The 27,845-nt window shown below is 39.3% G+C and overlaps 1 protein-coding gene across 12 annotated transcripts in view; it reads right to left on the reverse strand.

Annotated features, from left to right (window-relative positions):
- The window catches only part of TOR1AIP2 (torsin 1A interacting protein 2), a 37,828-nt gene continuing 11,440 nt past the window's right edge, over positions 1,458-27,845 (reverse strand). For 3 of the 12 annotated variants that reach the window (NM_001349934.2, NM_001349935.2, XM_047447778.1), the window contains 6 exons: positions 26,918-27,336; positions 17,540-17,652; positions 14,114-14,293; positions 12,327-12,845; positions 9,017-9,118; positions 1,458-8,310 (listed from right to left, as the gene is read on the reverse strand). In NM_001349934.2, the coding sequence (NP_001336863.1) occupies positions 7,553-8,310; positions 9,017-9,118; positions 12,327-12,845; positions 14,114-14,147 (1,413 nt within the window). In that variant the 5' untranslated portion in view covers positions 14,148-14,293; positions 17,540-17,652; positions 26,918-27,336 and the 3' untranslated portion in view covers positions 1,458-7,552. Of the gene's footprint in view, positions 8,311-9,016; positions 9,119-9,706; positions 10,357-12,326; positions 12,846-14,113; positions 14,294-17,539; positions 17,653-19,303; positions 27,337-27,845 lie in introns of those variants that run through there. The other 9 variants (NM_001349936.2, NM_001199260.2, XM_047447782.1 and 6 more) reach the window with 5 other exon arrangements.

Genomic DNA, 27,845 nt, shown 5'->3' on the forward strand with positions numbered 1-27,845 from the left:
CCTGTTCTAGTGTACGGTAGAACACTAGTATGTAATATCCTCTAGTGGTGAGTTTATGCATTAAGAAAATCTCGTTGCTGCTAATCTACTGTTGACGTTTGTGGAATGAGTATTAGGAAATTCTGTGTTCTTTGCCTTCAGGCTCATCTTATCGCTTGACTTTAGCTCTTTTCAGTGAAAGCTCATATGTTAAGATATGGTAACTCCCAAAGTTCCTATTTTTCTAAACTGCAAAAACAAGTCTTTCAGATTTTCAAAATTCAATTCAGATTTGTTAGAAAATGTTTCTATAAAATGTGTTAATAAGACCTTTGGTTTTAGTTGGGTATGGATGGGGGTGGGCCGAGCAGGAAGCTGGGAGAAGGTGGGTGAGGGGCTGAGATGGGTATTCAGGTGCTTCTGCTCTGTAATTCTGGTTTGGCAACATCTTAAGGCAGAAATTCTGAACACACCCCCACCTCCCCCACTCCCAACACATAAGGTAAGGGATATCCACACTTAAAAAACACATTCGGCCGGGCGCGGTGGCTCACGCCTGTAATCCCAGCACTTTGGGAGGCCGAGGTGGGTGGATCACAAGGTCAGGAAATCGAGACCATCCTGGCTAATACGGTGAAACCCCGTCTCTACTAAAAATACAAAAAAATTAGCTGGGCGTGGTGGCGGGCACCTGTAGTCCCAGCTGCTCGGGAGGCTGAGGCAGGAGAATGGCATGAACCCGGGAGGTGGAGGTTGCAGTGAGCCGAGATCGCGCCACTGCACTCCAGCCTGGGCGACAGAGCAAGACTCCGTCTCGAAAAAAAAAAAAAAAAAACCACATTCACAGGCTGGGTGTGGTGGTTCACGCCTGTAATCCCAGCACTTTGGGAGGCCGAGGCAGGCAGATCACCTGAGCTCAGGGGTTTGAGACCAGCCTGGACAACATGATGAAACCCTTTCTCTACTAAAAATAGAAAAATTTAGCCCAGCACTGTGGCCTGTGCCTATAGTCCCAGCTACTTGGGAGGCTGAGACAGGAGAATTGCTTGAGCCTGGGAGGCGGAGGTTGCAGCGAGGGGAGATTGCACCACTGCACTCCAGCCTGGGCAACAGAGCAAGACTTTGTCTCAAAACACACACACACACACTCACAACAGCACACCCTGGGATAGCAGCAATTCCCAGGGATCTACTTACAACCCCAATGTTTCTCCCATACTCAGGAAAGCTTCGTTAAGTAGGAATAGCACTCGAAGAATGCTACCCAAGAGCTGCAACAGATTCTAGGCAGGGTCTGCCCTATACCATTTCACTGATGGCCACAAAATGCCACCTGACAACCCTCACAGGATTCTCTAGCTCCTCAGCTTACTGCCATATGAGGGCAGTTTCCTTTCCCACCATTAATCACCACATGCCCATTTCTATAAACCTGCTATTTTGGGAAATTTAATCAAGAATCAGTCCGCTGAAAAAAATTCAGATTTATTCTTTATTCTGGTAATGGCCAACTAATCTGAATAAGGCACATCATCAGCATCTATAAGAAACAAATACAAAAGCAATCCCTGTTATACAGAAAGGGAGTGCAGAGAAGTGGGACGTTAGTATTGGCAAAGCACACATATTTTTTGTTAAGCACAAATAAGCAAAATGCAATTGAGTTTGAAAGTCAGTGTGCTGTTTCTTTTATGACAGGAAAGGCAAATAGATTTAAATTTCCTGTGCTCTCTGATGAACCAGGAGCAACTGCCTGGAGCTTTGTGTTGATGCGTCCTCAGGCCTAGAAGGAACACAGAGAGTAGGGCTGTGACTGCCGGGGGCTTGGCCAACTCTGCCCCATACAATGTGACTCAGCCTGTTGCTTCCCAAGTCTAAAATGTTCTTTTTGGTTCATGTAACTGCGCTTAGCCAAAGGCAAATTTAGTTTATAAGCCTCAGTGAGGAAAAGCAGGAGACCATTTGCCAAAATAAGAACCAATTTATGGGCTTTTCAAGACATCACAGCAAGCGGGCACAGATAATGCAGATAATACTGGAAGGAAAGGTACTGAAGACTAAGGTATTTACCTTTTTGCAGATTAGGGGATACTGATTATGTTCTCAGGCCATTTGGATTGGCCTATAGAGATACAGAAGTTATAGCACAGTTTACCAAACATCGCATGTTCTCACTCATAGGTGGGAATTGAACAAAGAAAACACTTGGACACAGGGCAGGGAACATCACACACTGGGGCCTGTCAGGGGGTGGGGGGCTGGGGGAGGGATAGCATTAGGAGAAATACCTAATGTAGATGACGGGTTGATGGGTGCAGCAAACCACCATGGCACGTGTATACCTATGTTAACAAACCTGCATGTTCTCCACATGTATCCCAGAACTTAAACTATAATAATAATAATAATAATAATAATAAAGAAGTTATAGCACAGTTTATTAGCTAGAAATGAATTTTAACAGCCCTGTCTCAGTCTGAATGAGGCAAATTTAGGCCCACATCATTAGGTATTTCACAACTTAACACCTAAAATTTAACATAAATTTACAAAAATAAGGCTTATTTTAAAGTCATCTGGAGAAACTGTTTTACAGGTATCTTAACTTTATTTAGCTCTCTGTAGAATTAACATCTTTGCAAATATATTATTCAACCAAGCATTTGCCATAAAGATAAGCATCAACTTTCCCATTGGACAAGTGATAGTGTTCAAGCTACTTGACTTGTGAAAAACAAAAAACCACCATGACTTCTCAACAAATACATTTTAAAATGAAATATGCTCAGGCTGATAAACAAACAAGATATTAAAATGGAGACTGACATTGAACTACATAGTCAACTTGAAAAACACAAGAAGACAATGCTCCTATAAAATGATATATTATTGGCTTTACAAAGACATACTGGTTTATGTTTACAACTATGTTTTATTTTCAAATGGTAAAGGAAAGGCTTCATGTTGCTATTTGAAAGTACTTCTCAACTAGCCGGGCATGGTGGCATAATTCCTGAAGTAGGAGGATCATCCCCTTGAGGCCAGGAGGTCCAGGCTGCAGTGAGCTGTGATTGTGCCACTGCACCATAGCTTGGGTGACAGAGTGAGACCCTGTCTTTAAAACAAAAAGAAAGTACTTCTCTGCAAGTAAATTTTATGGATATAATCTTTATTCTGATTAAATAAATGATTACCCTAATCAGCTATTATTTATTATTTTCTATTTAACATTCATTTTTGAAGTGCCAGAGACCTGCCTATGTCGCATAAAGTTTGGTCAGATATATGCAAATGCAGTGTTGGTGAAGATCATCTGAATAATGATCACTTTCACATGCCATATTAGTTATATTTTAGTATCACTGCTCATTGTGCTTCCTCTCTTTAATAAAGTATAAATCAAGCAATTAAAAGCTGTGTAGGCCAGTCGCGGTGGCTCACGCCTGTAATCCCAGCACTTTGGGAGGCCGAGGCGGGTGGATCACTTGAGGTGAGGAGTTCGAGACCAGCCTGGTCAACGTGGGGAAACCCCGTCTCTACCAAAAATACAAAAATTAGCTGGGCGTGATGGCACGTGCCTGTAATCCAGCTACTTGGCAGGCTGAGGCAGGAGAATCGCTTGAACCTGGGAGGCAGTGGTTGCAGTGAGCCGAGATATCGCACCATTGCACCCCAGCCTGGATAACAAGAGTGAAACTCTGTCTCAAAAAAAAAAAAAGGCTGTTAAAGGGTCAAAACCATCTCAGCGGCTAGCACTATTTAGTGGAGTCACTAGCTAAGAGAATGGTGGGTTACCAGCATGCTGAGCCTTATTAACCACCATACACTTGGGGGCTTCCAAATGAAATGTATTGAAATGTCTTTATTGATTGCTTTTTAAAATAGAAATATGAAACAAATTAGCATTACTATTTTAGTGATATGAACACCTTTAGTGATATGAACTTGTCCGCCAACTCCTGGAAACTAACCAGAAAACCTAAAATTTACCCTAAGGGAAGAAAAACCTCAAGTCCAAAGACAGTTTCTGATTCTACCAATTGGTTCTACAATTCTGGGATTACTCAAGAAGTAATTTATATTAATATACAGTGTAATGAAAGTTGTTCTGTAAGAGTAACTAAATGGCAACGTTTAGGTACCACATACAATATTGTATGCCCACAAATCATTTTTCTAAGTCAAATAAGCAAATTATCTTTGACAATAAAAGACGAATTACTAGACACACAAAAGAAAATCTGAAACCTTAAAAAATGTCAATAGGCCGGGTGCGGTGGCTCACGCCTGTAATCCCAGCACTTTGGGAGGCCAAAGCGGGCGGATCACGAGGTCAGGAGATCGAGACCATCCTGGCTAACACGGTGAAACCCTGTCTCTACTAAAAATATTTTTTTAAAAATTAGCCAGGTGTCGGGGCGGGCACCTGTAGTCCCAGCTACTTGGAAGGCCGAGGCAGGAGAATGGCATGAACCCAGGAGGCGGAGCTTGCAGTGAGCCAAGATTGCACCACTGCACTCCAGCCTGGGCAACAGAGCAAGACTCCATCTCAAAAAAAAAAAAAAAAAAAAAAGTATAGAACAAATAGAAATTAACCTAATACATTAGATAATAGATTTGAATTATCTGTACATTTATAAAATATGGTCTTATGTTTAAAAATAGTCATTTTAGTCATGAGAAGACCCAGAGCTAATATACTGCTTCTTTTAAAAATGATTTTTGAGGCCAGGTGCAGTGGCTCGTGCCTATAATCCTAGCACTTTGAAAGACCAAGGCAGGCGGATCAATTGAGGCCAGGAGTTCGAGACCAACCTGGACAACATAGCAAAACCTCGTCTCTATTAAAAATACAATAATTAGCTGGGCATTGTGGTGCATGCCTGTAATCCCAGCTACTTGGGAGGCTGAGGCACAAGAATCACTTGAACCCAGGAGGTGTAGGTTACAGTGAGATGAGATTGTGCCACTGCACTGCATTCCAGCCTGGGTGACAGAGCAAGACCTTCTCTCAAAAAAAAAAAAAAAAAAAAAAGAAGTTTGGTTGGGTGCATTGGGTCACATCTGTAATCCAAACACTTTGGGACGCTGAGGTGGGAGGATCACTTGAGGCCAGGAGTTCAAGACCAGCCTAGGCAACACAGTAAGACCCTGTCTCTATACAAAATAGTGTGGTAGAGTGGTGTGGTAGTCTGCACTTGTAGTCCCGGCTACTCAGGAGGCTAAGGTGGGAGGATTGCTTGAGCCCAGGAGTTTAAAGCTACAGTGAGCTATGATCAAGCCACAGCACTGCAGCCTGGGAGTCAGAGTGAGACTCCATCTCAAAAAAAAAAAAAAAAAAAAAAGACTTTTGAAATAGCAGACAGAAAACTGACAACACCCTCAATTGATTGCACTATACATGGAAGGGAAAATGTTTTTAAAAAGGCTAAATTAAAAATTATGACTTTAGAAATTTATTTTTCTAAATTATTTTGAAGAGAAATGATGAAAAACCATATTCAACTGAATGAAGAAACAAGAATATGCGACATACTGGTTCCTTGACAGATCTGAGGTAGCACAGGTCAGCAGGCCAATATAATAGTTATACAAGGCAACACTGGTTTTGTGGATGTAACGCTAGCATCTAAGATCTAAAAAGACAGAAAAAATGTGCATATGGGATACAGATTTTCCTTCAACTTCCTCTGCTTTTATACTGGATTGACAGTGATATCACATTCACCATGCTTTAACTTTTTGTTCAGGTCTCTTCCCAAATCTCTTGGAAGCTTCCTTCGAAGTCCCAAATGCAAATTCTTCCTTCAGGTATGCCCCTACACTCAATTGAGCAATTACTCAATTGTAATCTTTTTAGGTATCAGTAAAGATCCCTGTATCTTCTTAGTGTTTCCTAAAATCTTTCCATACTTTAATCAGACTTCTTAGCTATATACATATGATCTCATATAATGGAGAGGCCAAAACCCAGTTGAAATAATCCAGGATTATGGTAATAGTCTATATAATGGAACAGACCCTTTGTTAGGTCGAGATCATTTTACTAGAGTTCTGCTTTCAGAGCTCAAATGCTAATCAACTCTATCTCCATACAAACTGTTTTCAATCTTTCTTACAATCACAGAACATGGTCCGTCAGTACTGAACATCAAAACCTCTGAGAATCTACCCACCATTTCTGCTTCCTCTCACTAAGTATAACATCTCTTAGATTTCTCTAATTTTTAACCTAATGGTACTTCTATAACTAGTTGGTCAAGAAATGAGCTGCATTACATAATGTTCCATCACTGCATAGAAATAAACTGGTAAAGTTATGCCAAATGTTCATATAAAATTTACTATTAAATTGGTTATTCAAAAATAAATTTTTAAAATAAAACAAATAAATTGGTTATTAAAATCTGTTCTGCTGAAAGAGTCTACAAACTCTTACCCTAGACAAGTATAAAATTCCATGCAGAGGGGACAGAAATGACGATTAACAGAAATGAACAAAAGCATCAGAGACATGCTAGTAAATGCTAGCTTATACATTCTGCTGTTCATGTATAGATCTTTATCCTTCATAAATAATGTATCTATACAATAAACCTGTATTTCATCTTCCTACTCATAAGATTTAATACATTCATTTTTTAAACATATTTCCTATCTTCTAAGATGTTTTTTCACTTAATCAATGGTTTTCAAACTCGAATATCAGTGAAACTCTTTGTTCCAATGAAATCTCATAGAGAACCCCAACATATAAAACAGTTAAAAGCAGAACTGCTCTGATACAAAGGGGAAGGGTGCCAGTAGACACAGTTTGAAAATCAATGCTGTAAATTGTTCAAGAAAAGCTGAAGTAAAGATATAGCCAATTGGAATTTCTTCATTTCCAATGATTATAAACAATTTCCCCACTGGTTCTCATTTTTAAGAACATTTGAGTACAGCTGCTTATACCTCAGCTGAATGAAATAAAAGCACAGTGCCTTACATGTAGTATTTAGGTAGGTACTTAATGGTTTGAATTCTTATTTCTTTTATCATACTACTCAAAACTGCAAAATTAATATAAGATATAATCCCGTAACTTTAGATTATTAAAGTAAGGTTTGAAAATATTCAACATGTGATAGAAAAATTTTCTAAAGGTTATCATTGCTTCATAATTCTAATTGCTTTAGTCCAAGTCCAAACATTATCGAAAAGGTTCTTCAGAGTCTCACTCAAGAAAAAAAAAAAATCACTCTGTAGTTACTCTAAGAAGTAAGAGTATCTTCCTGTGCAATGTTGCTATATTTTAGAATTTAAAAAAAATTCTCATATATATCATCGATATTTCAAACCTGATTTGGTCCAAAGAAAAAAAGTCAGGTTAATTTTTAGCTTTGTCAAGGCTTAGATTAGAAAGATTTTACAAGGAATAAAAAATAAAAACTTGTTTCTAAAATAAGCTCATCTTTGTTTTTCAGGCTATTTCCTCAAGCTATTTTATCAACCTCCTTCCATATAAATGGAAGGTCTTTAAACAAACTTTTTCATAAACATATACCTTCTGTAACCAACTCTGTGCTTAGCTTTAGAAAAGGCACCCCTGTTCTTCTATGCTACTCACTGGCTGGACTGGCAGTACCAGGTGTGAAATTCGGCTCCACAGCCCACTCAATTTGTCTGAGTCCATGTGGTTGAAGGAGGTGGGAGTGTCAGAGTTGGTAAACTTGGCCCAGAGTAAGTCTCTCACTTTTTCTTCCGTTTCCCTTGGGCCTACACTTGCTTCTAATGTTTCCTCCTCTAGCAGAACAGTCAGGACCAGGGCCACATCTTTAAAGGCAGCATTCTCATGATCACAATACTTATAGAAGATCAAAGTGGAGCCGGCAGGGAAGGATTCGAAGTGGTGTACCACAGCAGCCTTCTGGCCATTCTCAAACCCATAGCTCAGCTCCAGGTCAACCAACAGCTTGACCGTGTCACTGTCCTGCCAGGTCCTTCCAGCCCCATCAATCTGAATGGGAGAGACTTTCTGGGAAGAGGTGTAGGCATCTGCAACATGGTGGCTCAGGCACTTCAGGGTCTCTCTTCCCTCCCGAGCTGCTGTAAATATGATGGTGGCTGGCTCAGTGGGGTTGGAAGCATTGAGGTGCTTCTGGAGAAACTTCCGTCCTCTCTGCCACAGGAAGGAACTCTGGCCTGGAAATTTATCTTCCAATTGGCTAAACTGGGCCAAAAAGGCCTCCAAAGCTGGATTTTTGGGCACTTGCTGGGCTGGAGAGGAATAGTAGCTATTCACAGAACTTGCCACAACAGCCACAACCAGGACGACAAGAATCACAGGGCCTGTCAAAAGAATGAAAAAGGAATAGAAAATTACAGAGAACACGAGCCAGAAACAAAGCCTGTGGTAAACTGAAATGAGGCAGAGATACCAGCAGGTTTTACTAGGAGCAATAAGTTTCTTTTGCATAAATTGTTTAAACTTTCAATCCACCAGAAGTACCTTTTCTCTAATCTCTTCTCAGATTTAATTATTTGAAGATATATCTGTTAAAAGATAAAAGCTACGTGGAAGAGTTAAGTACTCGGTAAAAAATTTTTAAAAATAAAAGGTAAAAGCTGAGTCTATGTATTTGTTATTATAACTAATGATGTAATTTAGACATGAGTGATCAAGATTTTTTTTCATCTTCTCAATGCACCTACTACCTATAGCCGACCATTTTTTTAGGAGTCATAACTTTAAAGTGCACTTGAAAAATTAATATTCTCTAATTAGAAAGGCAGTTTTTGTTTCTTGTTTAGGAAAAGCCTTTCCTATTGTGAGAAATTCCATTTTGTTAAGCACAGCAAAATATCAGCCAGCACCCGTAAGGGAAAAATCCCTAAAACTCTAGTGTACTATTTTACTATGTCTCACTACCAATCATTAAATAAGTATATATAAACACAATGTTAAAACTGTTTAAATCTGCTAGTTTTCTAGGCATTTTCACTGAGGATTTCTGAAAGTGAATCAACACTGCAGTAAAACCAGGTTTGTTCTCACCATAGCTCCAAAAACCCTTTTTATTAATCTGTCTCATGGTGTCCTGTGCATTCTCTTTAATTTCTTCCAATTTTTGTGTTTGTTGTGGATGACTTCCAGCCTCTGGAGAGGAAAAGAATCAATATTATTTTTAGGCAGTACACTAATGACAGTATGTATACCTTTATATCTCTCACCAAACCAAAGAATGATTTGACTAAAAGGCTTTCTATACCTTGGCCAGGTACGGTGGCTCATGCCTGTAATCCCAGCACTTTGGGAGGCTGAAACAGGTGGCTCACTTGGGGTCAGGAGTTTGAGACCAGCATGGCCAACAAGGTGAAACCCTGTCTCTACTAAAAATACAAAAATTATCGGGCATGATGGCGGGCGCCTGTAATCCCAGCTACGTGGGAGGCTGAGGCAGGAGAATCGCTTGAACCTGGGAGGTGGAGGTTGCAGTGAGCCGACATCGTGCCACTGCACTCCAGCCTGGGGGACAGAGCAAGACTCCATCTCAGAAAAAAAAAAAAAAAAAACCAAAGTTAACATTTTTCCTGTCTTTTCTTTAAGACTATTACTTTTATTCTACTTAGAAGGATAAAATGAAATACTGTGAAATTCATTCAAGGATAATGTTGCTATATTCACAATTCCTTACTGCCTCTTATATCAAAGACAAAGACATTTAAATAGTGCGGCCAAACTTACCTAAAATGTAATTCAGCAAAATGTATAAAATCAAGAAGGGATTTAAGAAATGTTGGCTGTACACAAGATTCAACTTCACAGGGTAATTGTGCTCTAATTCCAGTGTTCGAGTTTCACATGGTTCCTCAAGACCCCGAATATAAAAATAACAGAGGCACTAAGTTCTAAGATAGGAGAGATTAGTGTACAGTTGCAAAATAGCTTACAGAAGCAAATTTGAAACTCTTAGTGAAGGAGATATACAAAGCAAGGAATATAAGGTGAAGAAAATTCACGAAATATGTAAAAATCCAGATGTAGGGAGGGCATGCCAAGCTTAAAATATGTGGGTGAAAAGAAGGGCAACAATTTTTAGCACTCTAAGCTAAATCACACTAGAATCTAAATTTGTGCTTAACCCCAGCCAGGTACTTCTATTAGCATAGATGAGTAGGATCATCTTCACTTATAAAGGATTGTTCCTATCACCCCAAAGAGTAGGTTCTTAAAATATCATATCATAGAATCTAAGAACTGAAAGGATCTATAATGGACACCTACTCCGGCCCCATTACTTAACCTATCATGAAAAAAGGTCCAGGGATATTAAAGATCTTGCCCAAGGTCACATAAAGAGATGTAGCTGGCTGGGCGCAGTGGCTCACGCCTGTAATCCCAGCACTTTGGGAGGCCGAGGCGGGCGGATCACAAGGTCAGGAGATCGAGACCATCCTGGCTAATACGGTGAAATCCCGTCTCTACTAAAAATACAAAAAAAAAAAATTAGTTGGGCACGGTGGCGGGTGCCTGTAGTCCCAGCTACTCGGGAGGCTGAGGCAGGAGAATGGCGTGAATCCGGGAGGCGGAGCTTGCAGTGAGCCGAGACAGCGCCACTGCAGTCCGGCCTGGGCAAAAGAGTGAGACTCCATCTCAAAAAAACAAAAAAAAAGAGATATAGCTAAGTTGAGATGAAAACAAAGTTTCTCATCTCTTAGAGTATAGATAACCTCATTCAACTATATTAAATTGCTTTCCATACATAAACTGCATTTTTTTTTTTAAAGACAGGGTCTCACTCTGTCAACAAGGCTGGAGTGTAGTGCTGAAATTTCGGCTCACCACAGCTTCAACCTCCTGGGCTCAAGCAATCCTCCCACCTCAGCCTCCTGAGGACTATAGGTGCATGCAGCTGTTTTTGTGTTTTCTGTAGAGATGGGTTTTTGCCATGTTGCCCAGGCTGGTCTTCCTGGCCTCAAGTGATCCACCAGCCTTGGCCTCCCAAAGTGCTAGGATCACAGGAGTGAGCCACCACCCTTGGCCTAAACTAGATTTTTTTAAACAATATTTTTTCTACTCACAGTGAACCTGCCTAACAGTGAATTTTTTTTTAAGAGATGGGATCTCACTAGATTGCCCAGGCTAGCTAGAATGCAGTGGCTATTCACAGGGGTGATCATAGCACACTGCAGGCTTGAACTCCTGGGCTCAAGCAATCCTCCCAACTCAGCTTCCCAAGTAACTGGGACTAGAGGTGTAAGTAATTGCACCTAGTTTATAACAGTGAAATTCTGACGCAGGTCATGGTCCTTACAGATCACATTCATTCATTTGACAAAATTCATAAAGGTGTTTCTATGTGCCAGGTGCCAGAGATACACAATGAATGAGAGGACACAGTCCTTGCCTTCACTGAAGTTACAGATTATTCTAATGATTAATAAATAAAACATATATTTGAGATTAGTCATTGATTTGCAGTGAAACATGAATTACTAGCCCTTGCTGAAGTCCCTGATGAACAGAACATCTTATATTTTATATTCTTTTGCACTGGCAAATGGGCATTTCAGACTGAGCTCTTCAGAGTGCTTATAAAATACAAACCCACACAGACAATCACAGAAGGTGAAAGTTAGAAGAATGTTTGGATATCATCTTGTCCAACTTCTTCATTTTACAAACAGGAAATTGAAGCACCAGGAAGGGAAGATTTTCCCAAGGTCTCCCAAGTCAGCAAGTGGTAGGGCCACAACTAGAATTCACACCTCCAGTTCCAGTTAAGGATTTAGCACACTGCAACGCTTAGCTTCATAAGGGAAGACATGCTTGTTCCTCTTAACATATAGGCAGAAAAAACCACGTATAGAGAAACTAACTGTCTTACTCAAAGTCCTATAAAACTGAAACATGACTGAGTTAAGGATACTGTCCCATTAATGCTCATTTTTAAATATACCCATCTCTTGATTTATGTAACATTTAGTTTCCCAAAAAGTAAAAGATTTTAAAAATTGTAAGTCGAAATATTCTCATAAGAAATAAAAAACCAGAAGCGAATTTTTTAAAAGTCATGCCCCTTTTTGTCATATCACATTAATATAAACAGTTAATAAAAACATGCTTAGAAATGCAGTTTATGTGTAGGAAGCAACTTAATATAGTGGAATGAGCTAGCCTAGATGAGAAACCTCATTCTAAAATCAACTCAGTCATGGCTTGGTGTGAGCTTGGGCAAGGCCCAAAGGCCTTACTCCTATGAAAGATGACAAAAGTTCTCTGGAAAGAAGGCCTCTGACTTCTGCTGTGTTCTCAGTTAACAGAGCAGTACAAAACAGGAGAGTAGTTCAGGGGGTTCTCTTACCTGGGGCCAGCAGTCGCCTCCTCAGTGTATCCTCACCCTCTTGCCCTGCACTGGAATGACCAGGACTCTGGGCCTCCTGGGAGTCTGTAGTAGGTGGTTCCTGAGATGCTCCAGTTCCGTCACTCGCTTCCTTAGGGAGGGCCACAGAGCTGCTCCCTAAGTGTGCATCTGCTCTTCCTACCTTGTCACTTGGAGAATGGCTGGGATCTGGATCCAAGGGTTCTTTACCCAGATTTTCTGAAGGGAGGTGATGCCCTTTTCCGCCATCCAGAAAACTCTGCTTGTTCTCATCTTCTGTTTTATCCTTTGGATGTTTCCCCACATTTGCTTCATCTGGACTTTCTGATTTATCACCTGTATCTGCACTTTCTGGACCTTCTGTCTCTACCTCTTGGTGGTCTTTGCTAAGACCACAGGCAGAGTGTAGGATCTCAGCTTCTTCAGCATTACTTGCTATGATTGTGGTCTCCTGCGCCTGAGAATTTACTGATGGATCATTTTCCAAATCCTTTTGAGAGTCTATTGAGATAAAAGTTTATAATTTTTATTGGAAAAAATTCCCCATAAATTTATATTTTAACAAGGTCCCTGTTTAATAATAATATTTACATAGATTTTCATGGTTTACAAGACACTTCCTAAACATTATTTCTCTTGGCTCCCACTAAAGGCAATTAAAACAACAACAAAAAAAATCTTATCATGTTAATAAATATAAAATGACACTAATATAAAACAAATTATATGACAGAACAAACTTTTGGCTATATTAAATATATCCTCTTCCCTAATGAAAGGCAATGCTCATCAATGGTAGCAAAACCTTATGCAAAAGGCTGATAGGGACTTTTATAGTGGATGAGCCAGACTGACAACTGCTGAACCCAGCGACCAATCTTCACATCATGAAAACAGGGAAACCCAAACAGATATCATTTACTTTCTAATACAATGCAGTAAGAAGTACTCTAGACCACTTGGGAAGTATTTTTGCCAAACAACTAAACTTAAATCTGGTAAGTTTCTAGAGCAACCAGTTTCCAAGAAATATAGGGATACAGGAATACATTAAATTATGCCTCAAGAATATAATCAGCAAAACCCAGCACGTGGGAAATTCCAAAAGACTTTGTTTCTTTAATAAAAGTAAGAATGGCCAGATGTGGTGGCTCATGCATGTAATCCCAGCACTTTGGGAGGCCAAGGCAGGTGAATCACCTGAGGTCAGGAGTTCAAGACCAGCCTGGCAACATGGTGAAACCCCGTCTCTACTAAAAATACAAAAATTCACTGGGTGTGGTGGCAGGCGCCTGTAATCTCAGCTATTCTGGAGGCTGAAGCATGAGAATCACTCGAGCCCGGGAGGCGGAGGTTGCAGTGAGCTGAGATCACGCCACTGCACTCCAGCCTGGGTAACATAAAAAAAAAAAAAAGGAGAAGAAGAGGAAGAAGAAAGATACCTTCTAAATATAGCACATCACAGGATATATATAACTCTAAAGATTTGTCTACCATCATTTTTTAAAGAAGCATTGTATTTTTCCATTACTATAAGTCCTTACTATTGGAGTCTCTAAAACATTTATCTTCCTTATATTATAATTAGGGTCTCGCATTATAGTAAAATTCAGTAAATTTGAAAGAATAAGTATAATCAAAACAAATGAACCCACTGAATTAGCTTTTTTACTTCAAAACCTCAGATTTTAGTCATCAGAGATTTTCTCTCTCTGCACACCCCTGGTTTCCTACAGCAGCAACCTCAGTGCCAGACAAATCAGTCTTACCCTCTTGAGGTTCCCTAAGTCCACTGTCGGCCATGTTTGTGTTCTATCTCTTCAGAGTTGGGAGGATACTTTTTTTAGTACTTGGTTTTCCTTGTGAAGATGTCTTGTTTTCTTCTTGTCCCAAGTCCCAACAGACTCATGCTTCCCATGGACCCAGGAAATAAGGCATATATACAGTGACTAAAACAAAATGAAAAAAAATTAAATGACTTTTTATCCATACAAGGGAGAAATGCAAGTATCAGCTTTATTTATTAAATATGTGTAGCTTGAGTACTATTTCCTCTGTGAAACTTTTTTCGTGAAGAAAATTTCCTTTCATGAGAATCATATTCCAAATCCTAGACTACTGAAAAAAGCTCCAGATTATTAATCTTTCATGAATTTCATAATCTAATATATTCCAGCATAGTTGAAAGAGTATAAAAAGTAAGATCAAGTGACCAGAATCTTCAACAGACTAGCTTGAATTAAAATAAAAAATAAATCTAAGAGTAGAAATTTAAGTCATTGCTGAAACAATCACTGCAGATTTCCTGGATGTCTTCAATTTCTGTCCCAGATAATTTTCTCATAGTCTGCCTATCAGGAGCTTTCACTTATATTAAAAAGTAACAATGCACAGGAGGTTCCCACAAACTGAGATGGCTGCTTTGAGGTGTACCACTACACATTTGGACTGACTTTGAAGTGGTTTTCTCGAAGTATTCTTTTGTAAAATATGGAGACAGATATTCCTTTATACAATGCCTTTTTATGCAATGCTCAAAGACAGACAAAGAAAATTATTAAGGTTTACACAAAAGGAATCAAAATCAAAGGCACTTTATAAGCAATAAAAACAGTCATATTTTATAGTTCTTTTTTTTGTCAAAAACAAATTGATCAATAAAGTTACTTAATATTTATTCCCTATGAAAATGAGAATAATGATATCTATGAGGCTTAAATACAAAAATATATAAGAAAAACCTGTGTGAAGTGTTATAGTTTTTTGACAGCCTAGCTGGAAGGCTAGCCAACTGGCCGTCTTTATGTTTTTCTCAGTACTCTTTTGTAAAATTTAAATTTACACATTAAAAACTTTGATCCCCAATGCCTACACGGTGCCTAGTGTATAGTAAGAACTCCATATTTTAACTTAAAAGCTTATGAAAAAATAAATGAATGTATAAATAAAGAGTGATGCCATAGATAAATTGGAAGGGAAGAGAAGAGTTAGGGACAGATTTTCTTTCTGCCACTGTGAACACTTAGCGAAGTGTTCAGAGGGTTCCTTGTCAGCTCTTTTATCTTCTTCAAGCTCCTGGGATTGGGCTTTCAAGCCATCATATGTTGGAATGAAGTTTTCTCTCCTATCCTAGCTCATGACAGAAAATAAAAAGTCCCCAGTCCTTTTTAAGTTTTGTTAAAAAAATTTTTCCTGCCAGCCAAAACCAAGAAAATAGGCTAAAAGTTTCCTATGTACCAATAACAAAAATTTTCAAAAGGAATGATGCTACTCACAATAACCTTAAGGAACCTAGAATAAAAACTAAAAGATACCTAGTAATAAATCCAACAAGAGATATGTAAGATCTTTAGACAGTGGTGAATTTTATGGTATGTAAATTATACCTCAATAAAGCTGTTTCTTTAAAACACAACTTTAGAGAGAAAAATATAGACCTTTATTGAAGTCTATAAAAAAGAGATAAGTAAACAGAAAAAAAAATATCATGCATAGACAAATAAGACTCAAAACCATTGATGCCAATTTTCTCCAAATTAATCTACAAATTTAATGCAATTTGAAACAAAATCTCAAGTTTTTTGATTATTGTTGGTTTCTAGTGAAATGGAAAAGTGGGTCCTAAAATTCACAAAGAGCAGCAAAGGATCAAGAAGAGTCAGCATAATTCTAAAGAAGGGGGGCAATCTTTACCAGATATCAAAACTTCTTTAAACTTAAAAATAGGGTGGGCACGGTGGCTCATGCCTGTAATCCCTGCACTTTGGGAGGCTGAGGCGGGCAGATCACCCAAGGGTCAGGAGTTCGAGACCAGCCTGACCAACATGCTGAAACCCCATCTCTACTAAAAATACAAAAATTAGCCGGGCATGGTGGCGCATGCCTGTAATCCCAGCTACTCAGGAGGCTGAGGCAAGAGAATCGTTTGAACCCGGGAGGCAGAGGTTGCAGTGAGCCCAGATTGCACCACTGTATTCCAGCCTGGGTGACACAGCAAGACTCTGTCAAAAACAAACAAACAAACAAAAAACTTAAAGTAATAAAAGCAATGGAACACTAGCACACGAATAGACAAACAGTATACAGAATAGAGAGTCAAGAAATATATGCATACATACATAAGGAAATTGGCCAATTCACAAAAGGGAAATAATGAATTAGTGAATAAATAGCGTGGGGACAACTGACTATTCAAATAGGGGGAAAAATTAGATTTCTGTCTCCTATTCATATAAAAATCAACTCCAGATTAAAGACCTAAATGTAAACAGCAAAACTTTTAAACTTTGAGAATATCAAATATCTTTATAACTGCAAGGGTTTCTTAAATAAGATATACAATACACAAACCAGAAAGGAAAATTTGACAAATGTGACCCTATTAAAAAATTTTAATTTCTACACAAGGTATCAAAATTAAAAGGTAAGTCTCTGACTAGAAAAACATCTGCAACACATAAAACCAGTAAGGAATTAATATTGAGAACACATAAAGAATTCCACAAATCAGTAAAAGACAAATAATGCTATGAAAAGTGGGTAAAGGGATGAATAAGCAGTTCAACAAAGAGGAAATATGAAAACCTAATGAATATTAAAAAACAGTCAAAGAAATACAAAAAATAAATTAATGGTGAGATAACATTTCACACCAGCAGACTGGTAAAAAGTCAGGCAATATCAAATGTTGATGAGGATTTAGAGATACAGAGAGCTCTTAAACCCCTAATGGCAATGAAGTAAACCTGTTACTACAACTTTAGAGAGAAATATGGCAAGGAAAATTAAGGCACACACTCTACAAATCAGCAACTCCATTTTTAGACGTATAATAGAGAATCTCATTAATACGCCCCAAAATGTCCATTGCTGTATTGTTTAAAATGAGGAAAAAATTAGAAAATCTAAATGTTCATTAATAAGAAAGTGGGTTTAAAAAATTGTCATATTCTTACAATGTAATATTATGCATAGCAATTAAAATAAATTAGGTTATCTTTAAAAGTTGTAAAATTATAGCAGTGAAGTACTGCTGACCAGGCACAGTGGCTCACACCTGTAATACCAGCACTTTCAGAGGCCAAGGCAGACAGATCGGTTGAGCTTAGGAGTTTAAGACCAGCCTGGACAACATGGTGAAACCTCATCTCTACAAAAAAAAAATACAAAAACTAGCCAGGCGTGGTGGTGCATACCTGTAGTCCCAGCTGCTGAGGTGGGAGGATCACTTGAGCCTGGGAGGCAGAGGTTGCAGTGAGGCAAGATCACACCACTTCACTCCAGCCTGGGCGACAGAGCAAAACTCCGTCTCAAAAAAGAAAAAAAAATGTTTAATATCTTTACTGAGGTGGTGGTTCCATTTGTTATCAAACTTAAAATCTGTACATTAATTGTATGTGACATAGATTATCCTCAATAAACCTTATTGCAAACAAACAGAACTGAAGGTTTTCAAAAATGTATTACTTGGTTACTAGGTTGCAGTCCAAAAGAATCTGCAAAGGTGCCATCACAGATATTTCTATTATCTTACAAATGCTTGACATACACCTTTCCTGTCACAAAGCACACACAGATCCTACACCCCACTTCATTCAGACCTTTTGTAACATATCATCACTGTTCATAGTTGAAATGGCATTTCCCTTACAGTACAAGAAGTGGGACAAACAAGGAAGTTCTTGACAAATCCTCAGAAAAGGTCACATGGCAGGGTATCTGAGAGATCTGGAGGCCACTGTTTCAGAGGCAGGTCAATCTTTTTTTCCCCCCCAAGATAGAATCTCACTCTTCGCATAGGCTGGAGTGAAGTGGTGTAATCTTGGCTCACCGCAACCTCCAACTTCCAGGTTCAAGCGATTCTCGTGCCTCAGCCTTCATAGCTGGGACTACAGCTGCGCACCACCGTGCCCAGCTAATTTTTGTATTTTTAGTACACACAGCATCTCACCATGTTGCCCAGGTTGGTCTCAAACTCCTGGCCTCAAGTGATCTGCCCGCCTCAGCCTCACAAAGTGGTGGGGATTACAGGCATGAGCCACTGCGCCCAGCCAAGCAGGTCAATCTTTTGAACAGTGTCTGATCCCTATCAGGGTATGTGTTCATTAGGAACCTCTGGACTGCATAATGGAAGTGAGGCAGAGCCTCATCCTGAAGGAAAATGCAGTAGCTGGAGACTTTCTACAGCTGTAGGGAAAACCACTCCATAAGCATGCCCCAAAATAGATGCTTTTGATAGTATCTTCTACAAGGAACTGATGAGACCTGTGTGCTTCATATGGCAACAAAAGACATTCACTCTGAGTGAATCCCTTGCAAGTTCAATTACGAAATGTTGGTGTTCAGTGCTCTATACGTGGCGGTTATAATGATTCATATTTCTACTTAAATAAAATGTAGTCTCATTGCTGACAGTCATTTCCACTTCCTTGTGACGCTGAAATCTGCAGCAAAACTTGTATCATTTTGCTTTAGTTGTCTCCATCAAGGCTTGTAACAGGTGAAGGCTGTAAGGTTTTATTCTCCATTTATGGAGAACCTACTAGACGGCCGGCTGAGGGATGCCTTGCTTAATTTCTATTTCCTGGGACTTTTCTAAGAGGGACACAGATTTGCCTCAACTGCTTGGGACACAGATTTGCCTCAACTGCTTCCTCTGTAAATGTGGCTGCCTTGTGCTCTGTCTTCTAAGATGTATCCTTTCTACTTCATCTCACCGTAAAATGGTAAATGCTTTGACTACCTGGTAGGTGACATTGTGTGGTATACCAAATGACTTTTTACATAACCAAGTTTAGAAGATTCCAACATACAATATTAAGTGCTATAAGGCTAACTACAATTCAATACATATTACATGTTTATAAATTTGGGCCAGGTATGATGGCTCATGCATGTAAGCCAGGATGTTACAATTCTGCTATGAAAACAAGTAGTAACATATAAAGCATACACAACTATAAAAGTTACTATTTATTGAGTGCTTTCTTTGTGTCAGGCAGCATTCAGATCACTTTATGTATTAACTCATTTAACCTTCACAACACTTCGAGAGGCCAAGGCAGGAGGATTGCTTGAGTCCAGAAGTTCAAGATCAGTCTGGGCAACATAATGAGATGATGTCTCTACAAAAAAAATTTAAAAATTAGCCAGGTATGGTGTCACACGCCTGTAATCCCAGCTACTCAGGAGGCTAAGGAGGACGATCCTTTGAGCCCAGGAGTTCAAGGCTGCAGGGAGCTAAGATCACACCACTGCAATCCAGCCTGAGTGACCCTGTCTCGGGGGAAAAAAACAAACAAAATAAATATATGTACATACATATATATGTTTGTGTATGTATATATATTTGATACTAATGAAGGTTTGAAAGTATTCCATTTTTTGTCACTACAGAGTGATATGTTACAGCATGTACATGTACAGAGAATAATGTACAGCATTATTAACATATATAAATTTATAACAAAACATAAATACATAAATGGAAAGGATACATATCAACTTCCATTTAGTGCTTGCTTCTGCAAGGAATAAGAGAGGGTGTCAACTGTACACATAAAGTTTCCTTAAAAAAATAAAAACATCTGAGGTAAATGGGATAAAATGTTCATATATTTTAGATCTGGGCAAAGGTCTTACTATATTATTCTCTGCACTTTTCTGTATGTTTGATGTAGTTACTGCCTTTTTAAATGAGTAATAAAATAAATCAGTCTCTGTAAAAAAAAATTAAGTATCAAAAGGAAAGACCTATAATGGAAACTCTTTCAGCCTACATGCAATGACCTTACATTACGGAGTACGCTTCCACCATAGCCTCCTAGACATTTTGTCACAACCAGCTGAGAAGAGACAGGACACGGAAAAGCTGCCTGTGAGAACAAAATCAGAGCTGGGAGAGCAAAAGGACCTTACCCATCCTCCACTCCATCCTGCAAATTGCTAGCATTGCCATGGCGACCAGTGAAAAAGAGGGGAAGGGATGGTGACCTGGGGAAAACCTGGGGAGGGGAGGCAGGGTAGGTATCAGGAAGTACTAAGACCATTTTTTAAATGGAGAAGGAAATTAGAAGTTTAGCAGCCAAGAAGAGCACAAAAGAATCAGCCATTCCAGGATGGTAGTTTAGATATAAATGCCATCATGACAAATGTATGACAGTTGGGGTAGAATTAAGTATATATCTTTATTTTTAAACACAATTTTATTTTAGTGAATGATGCCATTTTAGGCTCTAGGGATAAAAAGAAACTGGTATCTTGGCCCTGAAACAAGTAGTTACAATCCTGCTATGAAAACGAGTAACAAATAAAGCATATACAACAACTATAAGAACTACTATTTATTGAGTGCCTTCTTTGTGCCAGGCATCATTCACAGCACTTTATTAACTCGTTTAATCTTCACAACAATCTTATGAGGTGTAGACTATTAATATTCCTACTATTTTAGAGATGAGGAAACTGAGATACAGAAAAGTTAAGAACGTTACCCAAGAACACGTGACTACTGAGGGCAGTTAGGATTTGAACTCAGGTAGTCTAGCTGTGGGACCTAACCATGACACTTTTAAAAGCTTGTATTAAGCATACCACAAGCACCCTGACTCTGGAAAACTTACATCTAGGTTTGAATTGTGACTCCAGTACATATGACCTGAGTGAATTTGTACATATCCTTCAACTTTTCTCTATTTCTTCTTTTTCCTTTTCAGGGAACTACCACTTCAGGAATTTGTTTATTTCAGTGTTGTGGAAAGTCTCAGGTGATAAAAGTCATACAGCAATTATATCTACCATAATTAAGATTATAAAATGGGCCTAAACATTGTGACAAAAATCTGCCTTCGGTCATCCATCCCTCCAGGCCTTTTAATCTTTACACCCAAGACCATCTGACTTATACTACAGGCTCAACCTCATCCCCAAACCAATCCTGTCCTTCATCAGGAGAGATTTAAGAAGTTTTTTGTTTTTGTTTTTAGATAAAGGGCCTTACTCTGTTGCCCAGGCTGGAGGGCAGTAGTACCATCATAGCTCACTGCAGCCTCAAGCTCATAGCTCACTGAGGCTCAAGTGATCCTCCCACCTCAGCCTCCTGAGTAGCTGGGACTACAGGCACATACCACCACATCCAGCTAATTTTTTTCTTTTTAAAACTTTTTTGTAGAGTTGGGGGTCTCACTATGTTGCTCAGGCTTGTTTTGAACTCCTGGGCTCAAGCCATCCTCCTGCCTCAGCCTCCCAAAGTGCTGGAATTACAGTGAGCCACCAGCCAATAAGTTTATAATAATTCAGCCATCAGTTCAAACAATTGGCTTAGTTCTAAAACTAAGACTCGGTGGACACGGCGGCTCATGCCTATAATCCCAGCACTTTGGGAGGCCCAGGTGAGAGGATCGCTTGAGGCCAGGAGCTCAAGACCAGCTTGGGCAACATGGCGATACTCCATCTCTACAAAAATAAAAAAATTAGCTGGGCATGGTGGTGCAAGCCTGTAGTCACAGCTACTTAGGGGGCTGAAGTGGGAGGATCACTTGAGCCCAGAAGGTCAAGGCTGCAGTGAGCCATGATGGCGCCACTGCACTCCAGCCTAGGTGACAGAACGAGACTCTGTCTCAAAAAAACAAAACAAAACAAGTAAGACTCTACCTTATTCCCCAGTTCTAACTTCTGCTTTTGCTTTCTTGCCCTACATCTTTCCTCATCCTAAAGATTTAGTATGTGCCATATGTTTGGTATATGTTATTGCACTTAAACCTCACAACAGTATGAGGTAGGTATTATTACACAACCTTTTTCACAGATGAAGAAACTAGATACAGAGAGGTTAAAATGCCTAAGGTCATTTAATAGTATCAGAATTAGAATAGAAACCCAGCTGGCTGCAAGGCCATTATTTTGCCTCTATAAAAAGCAATTTTCAAGCTGTGTCCCCAAAATTCCATGGAGACTCAGGGTTGCCAGGGAGACTGGAGAGATGAACGGGCTGCGGCTCATCTCACTTTTACAGACAGCTATGACATGTGGACTGCCACATATTCTTTGGATGCCATGGACTCATTTCTGCCTTCCTGTTTGCCTGGGCTTCCTTCACCTGTAACTCAGAGATGAATCTTACCTCACTCACTCATATCCCCCAACAGCCACCTCTTTGGTGGATGTATTTTCTTTCCGGTCTGCCCTTGCATGTTTCCATTAACCTTTTCACTCCCTGGACTGCCATAAAATAACAGGGAGTAGTTATAATGGTCATTTTAGAAATGCTACCATAACATATAAGCAATATTACCAACTCTTCCACACTATAAAAATAGAGACGAGTGTAGCTCACACTATTTAAAACACTGGATAACCCTCCAGATCATTTGTCATTACAATTAATTTTACCAACACAGCATTTATATTTTAATAAAATTCATTATTCATATCAACTATGGAGTATTCTAGAATAACCTGCAATATTTTAAGCCATATGAAGACATACTAGAAAGACCTAAGGTGAAAAGCTTTGTTCAAAGGCTTCCTCAATTTTCTCCTTTGCTCAATTTTATGAGCTCTACTACATGATGTTGATTTCTGACAGCTTATCATATAACAGGTATGTGATGTTTGAAGGCAAAGTAACCCTCTTAATATTAAAATTAATATTTTTGATTCATTTTTCTTGCCCATATATTCACATAGTTTATAATGACACTGAACAAAACTGTTTGTGAAGAAGACTGAAACATTCCTGATTAGTTTAATTAATGAGAAAAATGTGGCTGAGTTATGACCTAAATTATTAACAGTGATCTTCAGTCTGACATGAAATCTCTTTTTACATAGCCAGTATTACCAAATAAATGGTACTATCTTGCAGTACTATGAGTATTCTGCTCCCATCCTTTTAAGCCAGATAAGTAAACACTATGGACATATTACTACAGCATTTCTCAAAGTATGGTCTAGAGAGCACCTGCATCAGAATCTCCAAAGGTACTATTTATATCTTTTATGTTGTTTTTTTTTCTTGAAAGAGACAGTGGTCTGACTATCTTGCCCAGGCTGGTCTTGAACTCCTGGGCTCAAGTGATCCTGCTGCCTCAACCTCTGAAGTAGCTGTGGTAACAGGTACATGCCATGGCACCCGGCATGAGGTGTTATTTATAATATGCAGATTCCTGGGCCCTACAAGCAACCTGAGGAATCAAAATTTCTAAAGCAGACCAAGAAATCTCCATTTTTAAACAAGCTCTCACAGGTACTGCTTAGGTATTGATTTGAGAAATCAATGATATAAATCCTTTTAATCTGATCTTACTATTTAATGGAGATATTGACTAAAACAAAAACAAAAACCTTTTCTCTATTTTGCTGATATTTAAATTTTCACATTTGTAGAATGTTTCTTAGTATATGTCCTTGTAACATAAGCATTCTCTAATAATTAAAAAATTTAGGGGCAATAATACTGATCATAATACTATTCTCGAAAGCACTCTCTCAAAGTAAATTTTCACTTTTTAGGAGGAGTTGTAGGATAGTGAAATTCTTCATTAAAGAGTTAGTGATAAACTAACTAGTCTTCAGTCAATTTAGCAGTTCACATAGTTTATTCAGCAATATAACAGGAGAGAACCTCCATTGTAAGAGACATAAGGCAGATACAGGGTGCATCTCTGGGGTACATTCTTCATACAGACTAACAAATAACTTCAGGTTTCACAACATGTAGCAAGTATGATTTGTTGCACACCAACAGCCATTCATTCCTCACGTTTTCCTTGCTAAAAGAGCCCTGGTCAGGCACGGTGGCTATGCCTGTAATCCCAGCACTGTCGGAGGTCAGGGCAGGTGGATCATCTGAGGTCAGGAGTTCAAGACCAGCCTGGCCAACATGGTGAAACCCCGTCTCTACTAAAAACACAAAAATTAGCCAGACATGGTGGCGGGCACCTGTAATCCCCACTACTCAGGAGGCTGAGGCAGGAGAATTGCTTGAACCTAGGAGGTGGAGGTTACAGTAAGCCGAGATCGTGCCACTACACTCCATCCTGGGCAAGAGAGCGAGACTCCGTCAAAAAAAAAAAAAAAAAAGGGCTGGGCACAGTGGCTCATGCCTGTAATCCCAGCACTTTGGGAGGCCAAGGCGGGTGGATCATGAGATCAAGAGATCAAGACCATCCTGGCCAACAATGGTGAAACCCCATCTCTACTAAAAATACAAAAATTAGCCAAGTGTGGTGGCGCACACCTGTAGTCCCAGCTACTCGGGAGGCTGAGGCAGGAGAATTGCTTGAACCCGGAAGGCAGAGGTTGCAGTGAACCAAGACTGCCACTGCACTCCAGCCTGGGCGACAGAGTGAGACTCTGTCTCAAAAAAAAAAAAAAAAAAAAAAAAGCCCTGATTTCTTCAATGGAGGCAATGTGGCCTACCCAGGCAATGCTAACCCTATTCCCCTTTGCCAAGGTTTCCCAGGCTCCCTTGTAAACTGGTACTTTCTAATGAGATGTAAGAAGAAATTTGCTAGGGATTTTTGGGAAAGACTTGATTCCCAAATAAAACACTGACTTGAAAGAAAGCCTTTTGCTCTCTACTTCCAGCCTTTCCTAGGGATTAAAATGTCTGTTACAACAAGAAGTCATATTGTACTCATTGAGAAAAAAAAACCTAACGATAAAAAGCAAACATGGATCCTAGGCCGGGTAGGGTGGCTCACGCCTGTAATCCCAGCACCTTGGGAGACCGAGGTGGGAGGATGGCTTGAGCCTAGGAGTTGGAGACCAGCCTGGGTCATACAGCAAGACTCTGTCACTATTTTTTAAAAAGCAAAAAAAAAAAAAAAAAAAAAGAGGATCGCAAGGGGGAAGGACACAAAGAAGCTGGGACCTTGATAATATTGATAATATTGCTAAAAGCACTAGATACCTAGATACCTGGCATGTTAAGTGTAATTTAAAAATTGTTCAGTGGCCTTTGAGATGTTTTCAACAGCTTTTTCTAAGTGGCTTAACCCCAACTCTGGGTCCATGATTTTCATGAAAGTCCAGAATGTGGCCAATGTTCAGCAGACCTCCTTAGTTCTAAGAAAGATGCTTCCTCTAGACTGTTCATAATATATATGAAGTCAGGCTTGATAATTTCTTTTGTCATACATCTCCTGATAGGTACTTTTCCATTTCCAGGGGAGGACGTTGTAAATTCAGTCACCACAAAGACAAGACAGTCTTTTGTTTATGTAAAGCCACGTAAGTATGGACAGGTGGCATTTCTGCATGTTTCTGCATAACCTATATAGGTGTTTCCTAATAGAATGTGATTTATCTGACAGTGACCAGTTATCAATAATCTCACAGCCACACTGAGGATGGGCCAAACAGGGCCAATGATGAATAAATGGCTATATAAGAGCAAATTTTATCTATCTATCTATTTATATATATATCTCATCACTGACCAATGCATAAGAGGTGAGTTTACAACAGTGTAATTTCTTATTAAAATTCACTGGACTAATCTAGGATCCAGCTATAACGAGGCTGCTTTCCCACAAAAGTTATCATTAGAAATACCACTATGAAGCACACAGTATAGGACTTCCCCTCTAGGACTACTTTGTCATATGACACTCATTAGGTTGCAGAAATTTTTTTAGGAGTGGTAAGTTAGTTCCAAAACAGTTTATAGGAAATACGGATTAGCCTCAGTCTAGATGAACAGATTAGCCTCAGTCTAGATGAACAGGCTGGCTGGAATACTAACTAAATTCATGTGAATAAAATATGTATAGGCCACGGAAGCAGATCCAACAATTTAAGCAGTTCCCAAAGTAGTGACAATCTGGGTCAGACTTAGAAATGAATTATTTTTCCATCTTCCTTGGGCTACCTACACAAAAGCCTCTAGACTTGACAATTTTGACTATTATAGAAGCTATTTGTTTTGGCCCAGTTTTTTGTTTAAGGTTTTATCTGTTCTGGTCAAGATTAACTGTAATGCAGGGTTAAAACCAGCTACTCGAGAGTCATGTATTCTTTTTCTAACCAGTGGAGGACCCAGAAGAAATGGATGGCAAGCTTTCTCAAAGGTCCATCTGGTGAGATTCTGGGGAGCCCACTCAAGTGGGAAAGACCAAGGAAGAACAAGGCTTCTATTAGCAGGATTATCAGGATAACACTCAGGACAATAATCAGCTCTGTTAATACGGTCTAAGAATACCTGGTAACATTCATTTTCAACAAGTTCAGTTTGGTACAACCAGTGGCCTAGTTCTAAACTAGGGAACCACTGTTGTCCACAATCAGGGCAATGTGAATTATCTGAAAACATCTGGACCTAGAAAGACAACACAGACAGCAATGTGACAGCAAGAGACAACAGTGACAGAGAGAGACGCCCAAACACCAGTCCTATTACAGGTTTCGTTTACCAATTTCTTAGTTCAACCAATATTATTTGGAGAGCCAAATAAACTTGGCTTGCACCTCCGTGCAATTCTTCAAGATTTCGTTGTCTATTTTTCACTCAATTGCAACTCAGTCTCTGAACTCAGGGACCGATCCAGTTTATAATGTTATCAGTCACTTACTAGCAGTACAGATCTCAGGATAGCTCCTTCAAATCCCAGCTTCTCAAGAAGAGATAGGGCTCTAGTCTAAATTAGTTATATTTTTCTTATGCGTCATCAGCTGCTGGTGGTGTCACACAGAGGCACTTGGCTTACTCTGCTTTGTTGGTAAGGTTATTGTGTCTGCTTGGTGAAACAGAGGAGCTGACAGGTCCAATGGGTCTTTTGTTGGCGCTGGCACTCTTGCCGTTGTAACACACGTACCCAAGTCTTAAGGCCTTGGCACTTTATAGCAATGTAGAGGGGTCAGAAAAACCTGGCAGAGTCCTCTTGATCGTGGATCCAATGAAGTCTGTCTTGGGAGGACATTAATCAGGACCCAATTGCTGTGAAGAAGCTGATGCTCAGTTGGCTGAAGAGTCTGGGAATGCGTCACATACCTGTAAATGATAAAACTTCAGACGACTCATGGGTTTTGCAGTTGTTCACATTATTATTAGAAACATGCATTTGGAAATTATTCAGGTTAGTTAAGGCAGATAAGAAATGTCTCATGGGTTTTCCCATGACTATTTAACATGGGTTCAAACCAACTGATATGTTGGCACTAGGAAGAATTCTGGATCATTTATACTAGGACTAGCTTAATTTCTTAGGACTATATTTCTTCTTTACTCCATGTGTGCCTTGGGAATAATAAGGTCTGTATAATCACGTCTAACCTGGTAAAACTTAGCGATCTCTTGTACGTCTCTTCTGTGAAATGGGTGCCACATATGGTATCCCCATAATGTATGGGATAACATTAATGATGACAGCCTTTCCATAATAGGTTTCAATCCATCCAAAAAAAAAAAAAGCTTACACAGTTTTTAGATAATATTCTTAAAAGCTAACCATAGAAAGTTGAATGAAATCCTTTTGAAGGCTAAAAAAAAGTCAAAAATCA

Source organism: Homo sapiens, chromosome 1 (genome assembly GCF_000001405.40).
Source record: "Homo sapiens chromosome 1, GRCh38.p14 Primary Assembly".
Lineage (NCBI taxonomy): Eukaryota > Metazoa > Chordata > Mammalia > Primates > Hominidae > Homo > Homo sapiens.